This window comes from Homo sapiens, chromosome 15, assembly GCF_000001405.40.
Source record: "Homo sapiens chromosome 15, GRCh38.p14 Primary Assembly".
Lineage (NCBI taxonomy): Eukaryota > Metazoa > Chordata > Mammalia > Primates > Hominidae > Homo > Homo sapiens.
In genome coordinates, this window is record NC_000015.10 from 41,544,489 (window position 1) to 41,559,144 (window position 14,656).

Genomic DNA, 14,656 nt, shown 5'->3' on the forward strand with positions numbered 1-14,656 from the left:
CGCACAGGCTGGAGTGCTGTGGCGCAATCTCGGCTCACTGCAACCTCCGCCTCCCGGGCTCAAGCGATTCTTGTGCCTCAGCCTCCCGAGTAGCTGGGATTACAGGTGCCCGCCACCACGTCTGGCTAATTTTTGTATTTTTAGTAGAGACGGGGTTTCACCATGTTGGCCAAGCTGGTCTCGAACTCCCGACCTTAGGTAATCCGCCCGCCTCGGCCCCCCAAAGTGCTGTGATTACAGGATGTGCCACCGCGCCTGGCCCACACATGCTTCTGATGTACAGCAGGCACAGCCCCTTCTGCACTTACGACACCCCTGGCAGGGACACAGCGTTCCTCAGACGTCCCTCTGCACTCACCAGCCAGTGTTACCACATCCCACATCCCAGCACCCACGCCCACGGCAGCACACAGAAACGTGGACACACACACACACCCCAACGTGACGAATGTGTTTATGGAAGAGCTAGAAGGTAACCATGAAAAAGGCCCAAGGAAAGAACACTGCCAGTGTGCACTGCAGAAATAGTGGTGGTGAGAAGAGAGGGAATAAAGCTTCCTTGCTAGCAAGGTTATCATCTTCTCCAGAATCTTGCCTTTGTTCATCCCACTCTCCCTTCTTGGAAATCCTCCCTCTTTTCCCTGCCACCCCTGTCTCCAAAGGATAACTCTTTAAGGCCTAGCTGGCGTCAACTCTAAAACCTCTGCCAGCCACGCCTACTCACCAAACTTTCCTTGGATTCACCTGGAATCTCACCGCCTGCACCAGTTGTGTGGTATGCTAAGAACACACTGCCAACTACCAACTGTCACCGGTTACCTTTTCACAGGCTTATGTCCTGTTCCCTTGAATAGACTGTCAGTTCCTTGTGGGCACCAGACCTTGTACTTTGCATCTAAATACTGAGCACCCAACGTGTTGCCATGCACATAGTAGGACCTTAAGTAAATCATTTCTAGACCAAAGGACATCATGGGGCAGCCAATGTTAGTCCAGTGGCTTTCCAACTTTAACAGGCACCAGAATCAACTGGAAGTCTTGTTAAACCAGATTGCTGGGGCCAGGCACAGTGGCACATGCCTATAATCCCAGTACTTTGGGAGGCTGAAGCTGGCAGATCACCTAAGGTCAGGAGTTCGAGACCAGCCTGACCAACATGGTGAAACCCCATCTCTACTAAAAATATAAAAATTAGCAGGGCATGGTGGTGTCCATCTGTAGTCCCAGCTACTCAAGAGGCTGAGCCAGGAGAATCACTTGAACCTGGGAAGCGGAGGTTGCAGTGAGCCAAGATGGAACCACTGCACTCCAGATTGGGCCACAGAGCCAGACTCTGTTTCAAACAAAACGAAACAGATTGCTGGGCCTCAACCTCTGAGTTTCTGATTCAGTAGGTTTTTCTTTTTCTTTCTTTTTTTTTTTTTAAGACGGAGTCTTGCTCTTGTCGCCCAGGCTGGAGTGCAATAGCATGATCTCGGCACACTGCAACCTCCTCCTGGGTTCAAGTGATTCTCCTGCCTCAGCCTCCCGAGTAGCTGGGATTACAGGCGCCCGCCACCATGCCCAGCTAATTTTTGTATTTTTAGTAGAGACGGGGTTTCACCATGTTGGCCAGGCTGGTCTCGAGCTCCTGACCTCAGGTGATCCACCTACGTCAGCTTCCTAAAGTGCTGGGATTACAGGCATGAGCTACTGCACCTGGCCTGTTTCAGTAGGTTTCCTTTTTTTTTGTGACAGAGTCTCGCTCTGTCGCCCAGGCTGGAGTGCACTGGCGCAGTCTCAGCTCACTGCAACCTGCACCTCCCGGGTTCACACCATTCTCCTGCCTCAGCCTCCTGAGTAGCTGGGACTACAGGCACCTGTCACCATGCCGGGCTACTTTTTTGTATTTTTAGTAGAGACAGGGTTTCACCGTGTTAGCCAGGATGGTCTCCATCTCCTGACCTCGTGATCTGCCCGCCTTGGCCTCCCAAAGTGCTGGGATTACAGGCGTGAGCCACCGTGCCCAGCCGATTCAGTAGGTTTCTAATAGAGCCCCAAAATTTGTATTTCTACCAAGTTTCTAGGTGATGCTGCTGGTCCCGCACTATAGCAGATCTATAATCCTCTTGGCTTCAACTACAGATGTAAATTTCGGCTACTAGGATTTAGTCATCTTGAGGTCCAAAATAGTACTAGACCTGGTCAGAAGTTATGGAGGCAGCGGGATGAGGGAGAGGAACTGGAGCCAAATATGCAGAATGAATGATAGTAGAAAATAATTGTTCGCAATGAAATAACGAGATAATGGCTCCTGGCAATGGTGCCACCACGCCCAGCTAAGTTTTGTATTTTTAGTAGGGACACGGTTGGACCATGTTGGCCAGGTTGGTCACGAACTCCTGACCTCAGGTGATCTGGCCTCCCAAATGCTGGGACTATAGGCATAAGCCACCATCCCCAGCTCCAGCATTCTGTTTTAACAAGCCTTCCACTTAATTTTGGTGCCTGCTAAGGTTGGAAAACACACCCAGCCTCATATAAAGTCTTCATCAACCTTTGACCTAATAGTTTTAACAGTCATTGTTTAACAACTAGGTGAAAGGTTGATGCAGACTTTATATGGATGGATCAGGTTGCCATTATATGAACTTACTGATGAATCTTTTCTACTGTTTTGAGATAGGGTCTTGCTCTGTTGCCCAGGCTGGAGTGCAGTGGTGCAACCTCAGCTCACTGCAACCTCTGCTTCCCTCTGCTTGCTGAGCTCAAGCGATTCTCCTGCCTCAACCTCCTGAATAGCTGGGATCACAGGCCTGAACCAAACGTGGCTAATTCTTTTATTTTTTGTAGTGACAGGGTTTTGCCATGTCACCTAGTCTGGTGTCAAACTCCTGGGCTCTAGTGACTCACCCGCCGCAGCCTCCCAAAATGCTGGAATTACAGGCATGAGTCACTGCACCAGCCGAGACTATTTATTTATTATTTATTTTATTTTATGTTGTTGAGATGGAGTCTTGCTCTGTTGCCCAGGCTGGAGTGCAGTGGCATGATCTCGGCTCACTGCAGCCTCCGCCTCCTGGGTTCAAGTGGTTCTCCTGCCTCAGCCTCCTAAGTAGCTGTGATTACAGGCGTGTGCCACCATACCTGGCTAACTTTTTTCTTTTTTTTTTGAGACGGAGTTTCGCTCTTGTTGCCAAGCTGCAGGGCAATGGTGTGATCTCGGCTCACTGCAAACTCTGCCTCCTGGGTTCAAGTGATTATCTTGCCTCAGCCTCCCAGGTAGCTGGGGTTACAGGCACATGCCACCATGCCCGGCTAATTTTTGTATTTTGAGTAGAGACAAGGTTTCAATTCACCATGTTGACCAGGCTGGTCTCATACTCCTGACTTCAGGTGTTCTACCCACCTCGGCCTCCCAAAGTGCTGGGATTACAGGCGTGAGCCACTGCGTCCAGCCAATTTTTGTATTTTTAGTAGAGACAGGGTTTCACCATGTTGGTCAGGCTGGTCTCAAACTCCTGACCTCAGGTGATTTGCCCACCTCAGCCTCCCAAAATGCTGGGATTACAAGTGTAAGCCACTGCACTGGGCAGAGACTATAACATATGAAATGCGGTCTTTGTTTATATCTTCATTTTTGAAACTGTTTTTTTGAGACTGTTAGGGAATACTAAATATAAACTAGATTTTGTATGATATTAAGGATTTACTTTTTTTTTTTTTTGAGATAGGGTCTTGCTTTGTCACCGAGGCTGGAGTGCAGTGGTGCTGTCATGACTCACTGCAGCCTCGACCTCCTAGGCTCAAGTGATCCTCCCACCTCAGCCTCCCAAGTAGCTGGGACCACAGGTGCATGCCACCACACCCAGCGAGGATTTATGAAATTTTTATTGGGTAAGACTATGTTTTTTTGTTTCAAAGACTGGGTGTGGTGGCTCATGCTTATAATCTCAGCACTTTGGTAGGCTGAGGCAGGAGTATTGCTTGTGGCCAGGAATTCAAGACCAGCCCGGGCAACGTAGGAAGACCCTGTTCTATAAAAAAAATTTTTTTTAATTAGCTGGGTGTGGTGGCACCTATAGTCCTAGCGATGCAGCGGCGGGGGAATAGCTTGATCCCAGGAATGTGAGGCTGCAGCAAGCTGTTTGCACAACTGCACCCCAGCCTCAGTGACAGAATGAGACTTTGTCGCTAAAAAGAATTTTTTTTTTTTTGAGACGGAGTCTCGCTCATGTCGCCCAGGCTGGAGTGCAATGGTGCAATCTCAGCTCACTGCAACCTCCACCTCCCGGGTTCAAGCTATTCGCCTGCCTTAGCTTCCTAAGTAGCAGGGATTACAGGTGCCCACCACCACGCCTAGCTAATTTTTGTACTTTTAGTAGACACGGGGTTTCGCCATGTTGTCCAGGATGGTCTCAAACTCCTGACCTCAGGTGATCCGCCTGCCTCAGCCTCCCAAAGTGCTGGGATCACAGGAGTGAGCCACTGCACCTGGCAAAAGAATAATTTTTTTTTTCACTTTGTCGCCCAGTCTGGAGTGCAGTGGCGTGATCTCGGCTCACTGCAAGCTCCGCCTCCCGGGTTCACGCCATTCTCCTGCCTCAGCCTCCGAGTAGCTGGGACTACAGGCGCCCGCCACCATGTCCAGCTAATTTTTTTGTATTTTTAGTAGAGACGGGGTTTCACCGTGTTAGCCAGATGGTCTCAATCTCCTGACCTCGTGATCCACCCGCCTCGGCCTCCCAAAGTGCTGGGATTACAGGCGTGAGCCACTGCGCCCGGCCATTGTTTCTTTTCTAGGATCACATCAAAGATACCACATTACATTTATTTTTATGTATGTATTTATGTATGTATGTATTTTTTGAGACAGAGTCTCGCTCTGTCGCCTAGGCTGGAATGGAGTGGCGCAATCTCAGCTCACTGCAACCTCCACCTTCCAGGTTCAAGAGATTCTCGTGCCTCAGTCTCCTGTGTAGCTGAGATTACAGGCACCCATCACCATGTCCTGTTAATTTTTGTATTTTTTGTAGAGACAGCGTTTCACCATGTTGGCCAGGCTGGTTTCGAACTCCTGACCTCAAGTGATCTGCCAGCCTTGGGCTCCCAAAGTGCTAGGATTGCAGGCATGAGCCATCATGCTGGGCCTTTATTTATTTTTGAGACAGGGTCTCCTCTGTTGCCCAGGCTGGAGTGCAGTGGCACAATCACAGTTTACCACAGCTTCAACCTCCTGGGCTCAAGCTATCCTCCTACCTTAGCCACCCAAGTAGCTGGAACCACAGGTGTGTGCCATCAGGCTTGGCTAATTTTTTATTTTTATTTTCGTAGAGACAGAGTCCTGCCATCTTGCCCAGGCTGGTCTTGAACTCCCAGCCTCAAGGGATCCTCCCATCTCGGCCTACCAAACTGTTGGGATTACTGGTGTGAGCCACTGTGCCAGACCTACATTACATTTAGTTGTCAAGTCCCCTTAGGCGCCTCTTGGCTATAACAATTTCATAGACTTTTTATATTTTTGATGACTTTTACAGCTTGGAGTAATACTGGTAGGGTGTTTTGTAGAATGCCCCTCAGTTGGAGGCCTGGCATGGTGGCTCATGTGTGTAATCCCAACACTTTGGGAGGCCAAGACTGGTGGATCACCTGAGGTCAGGAATTTGAGATCAGCCTGGCCAACATGCTGAAACCTTGTCTCCACTAAAAACACAAAAAAATTAGCCAGTGGTGGCACGTGTCTGTAACCCAGCTACTTGGAAGGCCGAGGCAGGAGGATCCCTTGAATCTGGGAGGTGGAGGTTGCTGAGATTGCGTCATTGCACTCCAGCCTGAGCAACAGAGTGAGATTCTGTCTCAAAAAAAAAAAAAAAAAAAAAAAAAAAGGAATGCCTCTCAATTAGAATTTGTCTAATGTTTCTCTCATGATTAGACTGGGGTTATAGGTTTTTGAGAGGAAGACCACAGGTTACCCTGCCAATTTTATTACATCCTGTTAAGGGTACGTACTATCAACATGTCTTATCACTAGTGGTATTAACCTTAATCACCGGCTGAGGTAATGTTTGTCAAGTTTCTCCACTGTAAAGTTACTCTTTCACCCCTGCTTTTCATACTATGTGCAGATCACGTAGTATGTCACTATGTGCAGATCACAATGAGTGGGCAGTCGTGCTCCGCCTCCATGTGGGTGGAGCGCCTACATACATTATTTGGAATTCTTCTGCATGGAAGAGGTCTGTGTTCCCCATTGATTGATTGATTGATTATTATTATTTTGAGACAGAGTCTGGCTCTGTTACCCAGGCTGGGGTGCAATGGCGCGATCTCGGCTCACTGAAACCTCTGCCTCTCTTTTATGGCAATTATCCTGCCTCAGCCTCCCAAGTAGCTGGGATTACAGGCACACACCAACACACCCGGCTAATTTTTTGTATTTTTAGTAGAGACGGGGTTTCACCATGATGGCCAGGCTGGTCTCAAACTCCTGACCTCAAGGGATCCACCTGTGTCAGCCTCCCAAAGTGCTAGGATTACAGGCGTGAGCCACCGCACCCGGCCCCCATTGATTTATTTATTAATATAGATACAGGCTTTTATATATTGGTTTGTGATTTAATACTATTTCATTTTATTTATTTACTTTTTGAGACAGAGTATCGCTCTTTTGCCCAGGCTGGAGTGAAGTGGCGCAATCTCAGCTCACTGCAATCTCCAGCCCCTGGGTTCAGGCAATTCTCCTGCCTCAGCCTCCCAAGTAGCTGGGATTACAGGCATGTGCCACTGCACTCAGCTAATTTTGTATTTTTAGTAGAGATGTGGTTTGGTTTCTCCATATTAGCCAGGCTGACCTCGAACTCCTGACCTCAAGTGATCCACCCACCTCAACCTCCCAAAGTGCTAGGATTACAGGTGTGAGCCACCACACCCAGCCAATACTATTTTATTTTGTTGCTCAAATTTTTTCACCTCTCCAATGACCTTTTACTATACCCTGTCGGGGTGCGTGTGTGCATTTCCTTACGTTCTGGCATTACAAGAAAGTAAGGAAATAGCTCCTCTTGTATATTTCCTGCCCCAATCCTAGAATCAGTCATTTCTTCAAGGACTCTTGAAGAAGTTATTAGAGAATAACTGTTATTGGAGAATGGTATTAGAAACCGAGATCTGGGCCAGGCACAGTGGCTCACACTTGCAATCCCAACACTTTGGGAGGCCTAGATGGGAGGACAGCCAGAGGCCAGGAGTTTGAGATCAGCTTGGTCAACAAAGGGAGACCCTCATCTCTAATAATAATAATAATAATAATAATAATAATAATATTAAACTAAGATCTGCGTGGTAAGTATGCTCATTGCTACTGGGGTGTCTTGCTTTTTGGACCTTCTCAACTGTCAGAGTAAGTGAATATATGTATATACTACAGTATACACACATATTTATAACTTTCTCTATGTAATCATCTGTATATATGGGTCAGTTTTTTTTTTTTTTGAGATGGGGTCTCGCTCTGTTGCCCAGGCTGGAGTGCAGTGGTGCAATCTCGGCTCAGTGCCAGCTCCGCCTCCCGGGTTCACGCCATTCTCCTGCCTCAGCCTCCCAAGTAGCTGGGACTACAGGTGCCCACCACCACGCCCGGCTAATTTTTTGTGTTTTTAGTAGAGACGGGGTTTCACCGTGTTAGCCAGGACGATCTCGATCTCCTGACCTCGTGATCCACCTGCCTCAGCCTCCAAAAGTGCTGGGATTACAGGTGTGAGCCACCGCGCCAGGCCAGGTCAGTTTTTTTTTTTTTAAGTCTACCTGTTACAGATATATATTATAATATTTACAGCTGAAATTATATGGCTAAGATTTGCTTTTAGAAACTTCAGCAATCCGGCTGGGAGTGGTGGCTCATGCCTGTAATCCCAGCACTTTGGGAGGCTGAGGCAGGCAGATCACGAGGTCAGGAGATCGAGACCATCCTCGCTAACACGGTGAAACCCCGTCTCTACTAAAAATATAAAAAATTAGACGGGCGTGGTGGCGGGCACCTGTAGTCCCAGCTACTCAGGAGGCTGAGGCAGGAGAATGGTGTGAACCCAGGAGGTGGAGCTTGCAGTGAGCCGAGATAGCGCCACTGCACTCCAGCCTGGGTGACAAAGCAAGACTCTGTCTCAAAAAAAAAAAAAACAAACAAAAAAAAAACAAACTTTAGCAATCTCTGGTTGTCTAGCGGTTAGGAATAAAAGTTGAAGAAAAAAAAAACCCAGCAAAACAACAAACTAGGACAATGAAATACAATTGACTAAGATAGTCATTGAAGCAGGATGCCAGGTACACTGGGGATTCACTCATTATACTGTTCTCTCTACTTGCATGTATGTTTGAAATATTCCGCTGGGCACAGTGACTCACGACTCTAATCCCAGTACTTTGGGAGGCCGAGGCAAGTGGATCACAAGTCAGGAGCTCAAGACCAGCCTGGCCAATATGGTGAAACCCCATCTTTACTAAAAATACAAAAATTAGCTGGGCATGGTGGCATGTGCCTGTAGTCCCAGCTACTCGGGAGGCTGAGGCAGAAGAATCGCTTGAACCGGGAGGCCGAGGTTGCAATGAGCTGAGATAGCACCACTGCACTCCAGCCTGGGTGACAGAGCAAGACTCAGTCTTAAAAAAAAAAAAAAAAAAAGAAAAAGAAATATTCCATAATACAAAATAATATGACTGGGTGCAGTGGCTCATGCCTGTAATCCCAACACTTTGGGAGGCCGAGGTGGGCAGATCACAAGGTCAGGAGTTCGAGACCAGCCTGGCCAACGTGATGAAACCCTGTCTCTGCTAAAAATACAAAAATTAGCTGGGCATGGTGGCATGAGCCTGTAATCCTAGCTACTCAGGAGGCTGAGTCAGGAGAATCGCTTGAGCCTGGGAGGCAGAGGTTGCAGTGAGCTGAGATCGTGCCACTGCACTCCAGCCTGGACAACAGAGCGAGACTCTGTCTCAATAAATAAATATGTACATACATACATACACATATAAAATAAGAAAATAGAGCCAGAAAACCCTCACTGACCAGGCTGCAGTTAAAGAGGGTCAAATAGAGAAAGACAGCCAGCCAGATACAAGGCATTAACACACATGCACATACAGGCACACACACAAGCATACATACATACACGCACATGCATACACACACATATACATACAGACGCACACACGCATACACACAGGCACACACACATACACACACACATACACACGTGTCCATACACACACAAAACTCTTCCACAGCCATCTTTAGGTGAAATTTTGAAGATGAAAGTTTTTCTTCCATGTTTGGACCCATCTGCCCTTTCAGAAACCGCAACCTTATTGCTCTACTGCTTCCTAAATCTGCTTTTGGAGGGAAATCTGATCATTTGAAATATTTCCTGTGACTGAAAGTCAAAGTGTGGTCTTCTTAGGAATTTACATTTCTGTGTCATCTTTGATGGGGCAAGAAGTTGCATTGTTTCTGGCTTAGGAATTTCAGGCAGTGGGTGTTTGACAGGGACAGCAACAGTCCCCAGCACATGTGGAATTACACATATAGGTAATGTTTCTACCAGTCCCAGAGGTTTCTCTAAGGTGAGGAACATAGTCTGTGGCCTGCCCCATCCCCCCATCCCTTGAGTGGAACTTGCCCACTCTCACCTCTTTTTTTTTTTTTTTTTTTTTTTTTTTTTTGAGACAAGATCTCGCTCTGTAACCCAGGCTGGAGTGCAGTGGCACCATCTCAGCTCACTGCAGCCTCCACCTCCCGGGCTCAAGTGATCCTCCCACTTCAGTGTCCCAAGTAGCTGGGACTACAGGCATGCGCCACCACATCTGGCTAATTTTTGTATTTTTGGTAGAGACAGGGTTTCACCGTGTTGGCCAGGCCGGTCTTGAACTCCTGACCTCAGGTGATCTTCCCGCCTCAGCCTCCCAAAGTGCTGTGATTATAGGTGGGAGCCATCACGCCTGGGCAACTCTTATCTCTTGAGACAGTAGTTGGGAAAGAACAGGTCTTTGGTTATATGACCAGTGAGACTGTCATGATCCTGCAGCTCACCATGGTTTCCTCTTGTTTCCCCCACTCTAGGGGTGGGGCAGAAGGCCTTAACTCTGAAAAAGCTGAAACAGCTGCTTCTTCAGAGTGCCGGAAGTTGGTAGCAGAGTGCCCTGCTTCTGTGGACAATGGTTTTTATCTCCAGGTTTGTCTTCATCTTCTCTGGATCCTTGGCCTCCTTGAACAGTTCTGGGTCATAAAAGGCTGAGAGTGGGCAGAGAGTTATTTTACTAGATTAGTGAGATGCTGTGCCCAACCTAGTCCCATCCATAATCAGGGGCTGCCGCTGGCCCTTCCTCTCACTCAGTCTTCCTCCACCCTTGCGGCCCCTTCTTACTCCTCTGGAATAGAGTATAGCTGCTTCTGGTTCTGTTCTAAGGACAGGAACTCCTGGGACAGCCACTCCCGCATTAGGTCAAAAACATTTCCTGTTGATTTTATTAGTTTCCTTCCAAACAATGCATTTATGGAAGAAGAAGAGCTTTTGCAGGCATGCATTTGCACAGGCAGCCAACCTCCTCCAGTCACACACAGACACACACACACCTCCACACCCACACGCACACACTTTCTTCCCATCCGCCCACAAAGCATCAGTCACATTTAGAATTTGCACAAATGCACACCCTCCCTCATACATCACAATGCACACCCTCTCATCCACCTACATGTCTCTTCCACAAAATCACACCTGCTCACATACCCTTAGAAGCACATTCCTGTACTGTGCCCAGAGAGAGAAAGGTGGGGGAGATAAGCAAGGAGAATGGGTTAGAAGGGCTCAGGAGGTCAAACCTCTGTAGGAGCTGAAAAGTCAGAAGACCAGGACCCCCCACTCCTCTCTGCCCTTTTTTTTTCTTTCTTTCTTTTTTTTTTGAGATGGAGTCATGCTCTGTCGCCCAGGCTGGAGTGCAATGGCGCAATCTCGGCTCACTGCAACCTCCGTCTCCCAGGTTCAAGTGGTTCTCCTGCCTCAGCCTCCTCAGTAAGTAGCTGGGATTACAGGCAGCCGCCACCACATCCAGCTAATTTTTGTATTTTTAGTAGAGATGAGGTTTCACCATGTTGGCCAGGCTGGTATCGAACTCCTGACCTCATGATCCGCCTGCCTAGGCCTCCCAAAGTGCTGGGATTACAGGTGTGAGTCACTGCTCCCGGCCTCCTCTCTGCCCCTGTAAGTAGAAATACTACGGCTGGGCAAGGTGGCTCATGCCTGTAATCCCAGCACTTTGGGAGGCGAAGGTTGCAGTGAGCCGAGATCACGCCATTGCACTCCAGCCTGGGTGACAAAGCGGGACTCCGTCTCAAAAAAAAAAAAAAAAAAAGAAATACTATGAATTGAGAGAGATTTAGAATTAGGGGTAGGGGAAGCAGGAACTCAGGGCCCCCTGTCCCACACAGAAAGTGTGCTGCCTCTGTGACAGTGATGTATCTCAGGCTGGTGGCTGAGGTGGGAAGTTTGTCAAGGCTGTAAGTGGCATCCATCACATGTCCGAGAAGCCCATTTTGACCAGTAGAAAAGGATGGCCTTTAGGGTGGGATTCCCTATCAGCTCAGGAAATGGTGCGGAGGGAATGAAGAGAGATAAGGAAGTAAAAGGCTGGGTTGGGCTCTGGGTCCAACATCCTCTAGAATGAATCTTACTAATGTCAGCTGGAATCAAGAGGAGGAGGCTCCCCTTCACTGGAAACTTGAAGTCCCCCTCAGAGAAAAGGCGGGAGAGAGGGCTTGGAAAAGTGACAAGTGCCCAAGAGCAGCCCAGGCAATTCTGCCTTCGGCCCCAGACTATTGTCTGCCTGCCCTGACTCAGCCCAAACTCAGAAACTGTGGATTCTGGAAAGTAACGAGACTTTTCCTTTGGGAAAGGGTCCTGAAGCTGACCCACAGTGCTCAAGAAAATTGGCAGAGAGGCCAGGCACAGTGGCTCACACCTGTAATCCCAGTATTTTGGGATGCCGAGGTGGGCGGATTACCTAAGGTCAGGAGTTTGAGACCAGCCTGGCCAACATGGTGAAACCCTGTCTGTACTAATAATACAAAAATGAGCCGAACGTGGTGGTGGGCACCTGTAATCCCAGCTACTCATGAGGCTGTGGCAGGAGAATCGCTTGAACCCATGAGGTGGAGGTTGCAGTCAGCCAAGATCGCACCATTGCACTCCAGCCTGGACGACAAGCGTGAAACTTCATCTAAAAAAAAAAAAGAAGAAGAAGAAGAAGAAAGAGAGGAAGAGGAAGAAGCAGAGAAGAATAGGAGGAGGAGGAGGGGAAGGGGAAGTGGAAGGGGAAGGGGAAGAGAGGGAGAGGAAGAAGAAGAAGAAAGAAGGAAGAAGAAGGAAGAAGGAAGAAGAACATAATTGCCAGAGAGCTCAGTGAAACAGAGACAGAGGAGACGGAAGTGAGCCACACACTCTGTGTCCTCGCCTCACCAGGAAACTACTAAAGTTCCTGGGGAAGCAAAGTAGAATTTCATAAGAACAAAATGGATGGAGAGGAGAAAACCTATGGTGGCTGTGAAGGCCCTGATGCCACGTATGTCAAATTGATATCATCTGATGGCCATGAATTTATTGTAAAAAGAGAACATGCATTAACATCAGGCACGATAAAAGCCATGTTGAGTGGCCCAGGCGTTTTATGGGTTTGGCTTTTAAATTTAGGTCTTTGGTCTTAAGTTAATTTTTGTTTATGCTGTGAGGTCAGTTTGCTGAGAACGAAACCAATGAGGTCAATTTTAGAGAGATACCTTCACATGTGCTATCGAAAGTATGCATGTATTTTACCTACAAGGTTCGCTACACTAACAGCTCCATCGAGATTCCTGAATTCCCAATTGCACCTGAAATTGTACTAGAACTGCTGATGGCTGCGAACTTCCTAGATTGTTAAATAAAATAAATTATAATAAACTGTTAACTCTTTTCAGTATGTAATACCTGTAGATCAGTTAGTAACTTTTTCATATATAGCATGTTGCCTGTATGCAGTTTAACTATATAAAGTTCATTGCAAAGCAGATTATCTTGTTTTTTTCATAGCAATCAAAGTTGAAATTTGTTTGCTACATCAACAAATTAAGAACATTTTCACAAACTGAGAAATAAACAAATATGCCAATTAAAAAAAAAAAAAGAAAGAAACAGAGACAGAGATATCTGGCCCCTGCCATCCATGTCTTGACAGTGCCTCATGAGTCTCTCCTCCTGCTGCCGCCTGGGGGCGCCCCCAGCTGGGTCTCAGGCTGCTGCCAGCACTGCTGTTGTTATCATTAGGGTAATTAATAAACAAGCACTGCTGGGGCCAAGTGGAAGAAGAGGCAGGCCCCTGCTGCTCAGGAGAATCCCTGAAAAGATCCAGTGAGCCTGCGGCAACCGGAGCTGAGTGGCTGGTCCCTCCTCTCTACCCAGGACCTCTGGAAGGGGTGTGGGGTGGGCTTCCCCCTGGAGGGAAGGGCAAGGGGAGGAGCACACTTGGTAGGCTTGGTTTGGAACCAGCTCTGCATGTGCCTAACAGGATGTCTGTGGGCAAGGCCACCCTCGTGATTACTGGTTGTGGGGCAGGCTCTGAAGCAATTATTCATTCATTTAACAGGCATCTGCCTATTTATTTATGGAAAGCCTACTGTGTGCAAGGTGGTCTACTAATAATAGCTAATGTTTGACTGGACAGTGTGACGACACAGCCAACTTTCACACCAGGTCCTGGGAAAAGGGGTAGAAGCAGGGGAAGCAACCAGGAAAAATGACAGCCCAAAAAGATACGGGCAATTAGGCTTTGGCCTGTGTAGTGTAGTGGTGGGGATATATATTAGGTAAAACCTGGGGATTACCAAGATCTTGGGAAACTCAGGACCCAAGTTGGAAAACATACGGCAATTGGGGCTGGAGAAAATGGGCATTTTTCAGGTGGGAGGGACTTGGAGATAAAGGCATGGCAATAGGACATGAATATGGGGATTTTGGGTGAATGGCTCAATGAAAGGGAGGCACGAAGGGATGCTAGCCGATCCTGTTGGGGGAGCCCCGGGTCACGGCAGTTTCGGGGAGCCAGATGGATGGGAGTGTCTAGGGGTTGAGGTGCTCTAAGTCCTGAGAGGGGGATGCTGGATTCTGGGATCAGAGTCCGAACAAGAGTTGGGGTGTGGTGGGGGCTGACAGCGGGGTTTTGAGGGAAGGCTCTGGAGGGCTGGGTTAGAAAAGATGCCGGAGCGGGTTTAGGGAAAGGAGGGGCGTGGCCGGGGAGCCCATCCTGGAGGCCAAGCCGGATCCTCAGGTTTGGCCAGGGGGCGGCTGGGGCCGGCGTGCCGGCGGGGCGCCGGCGGGGCCGCGGGGGTTTGCGGCGCTGGCTGGGATTCGCGCTCCGAGCCAGTCGCCGGGGCTCCGCGGGGGGGCGGTGCGAGCTCGGGCTGCGGGCGGGCCGGGAGGAGGCGGCGGCTCCGAGAAGAACATGAATCAGCGGCGGCGACGGCGGCGACGGCAGTGGAAGGAGCGCGGTGGCGCGGGAGCGGCCCCGGGGACCCCGCGCTGCTGACGGCGGCGACCGCGGCCGGAGGCGGGCGCGGGTCTCGGAGGCGGTCGCCTCAGCACCGCCCCACGGGCGG

The 14,656-nt window shown here is 48.8% G+C and overlaps 1 pseudogene, besides 6 other annotated features; it reads left to right on the forward strand.

Annotated features, from left to right (window-relative positions):
* Positions 8,042-8,143: a silencer, noted in NCBI's record as "fragment chr15:41844728-41844829 (GRCh37/hg19 assembly coordinates)". NCBI's record gives its function as "represses an EF-1alpha promoter that drives an FKBP-Casp9 reporter gene in an ReSE screen in phorbol 12-myristate 13-acetate-treated (for megakaryocytic differentiation) K562 erythroleukemia cells {active_cell/tissue: K562(+PMA)}" and the evidence as "EXISTENCE:reporter gene assay evidence [ECO:0000049][PMID:32094911]".
* On the forward strand, positions 12,447-13,175 carry ELOCP2 (elongin C pseudogene 2; annotated as a pseudogene).
* Positions 14,143-14,644: an enhancer, noted in NCBI's record as "H3K27ac hESC enhancer chr15:41850829-41851330 (GRCh37/hg19 assembly coordinates)". NCBI's record gives its function as "activates a minimal SCP1, AML or CMV promoter by ChIP-STARR-seq in primed H9 embryonic stem cells {active_cell/tissue: H9 hESC(primed)}" and the evidence as "EXISTENCE:reporter gene assay evidence [ECO:0000049][PMID:30033119]".
* Positions 14,143-14,652: a biological region, named in NCBI's record as "H3K27ac hESC enhancer GRCh37_chr15:41850829-41851330".
* Positions 14,373-14,462: a silencer, noted in NCBI's record as "silent region_6363". NCBI's record gives its function as "represses an Ori minimal core promoter by ATAC-STARR-seq in GM12878 lymphoblastoid cells {active_cell/tissue: GM12878}" and the evidence as "EXISTENCE:reporter gene assay evidence [ECO:0000049][PMID:35858748]".
* Positions 14,408-14,574: a silencer, noted in NCBI's record as "fragment chr15:41851094-41851260 (GRCh37/hg19 assembly coordinates)". NCBI's record gives its function as "represses an EF-1alpha promoter that drives an FKBP-Casp9 reporter gene in an ReSE screen in K562 erythroleukemia cells {active_cell/tissue: K562}" and the evidence as "EXISTENCE:reporter gene assay evidence [ECO:0000049][PMID:32094911]".
* Positions 14,513-14,652: a silencer, noted in NCBI's record as "silent region_6364". NCBI's record gives its function as "represses an Ori minimal core promoter by ATAC-STARR-seq in GM12878 lymphoblastoid cells {active_cell/tissue: GM12878}" and the evidence as "EXISTENCE:reporter gene assay evidence [ECO:0000049][PMID:35858748]".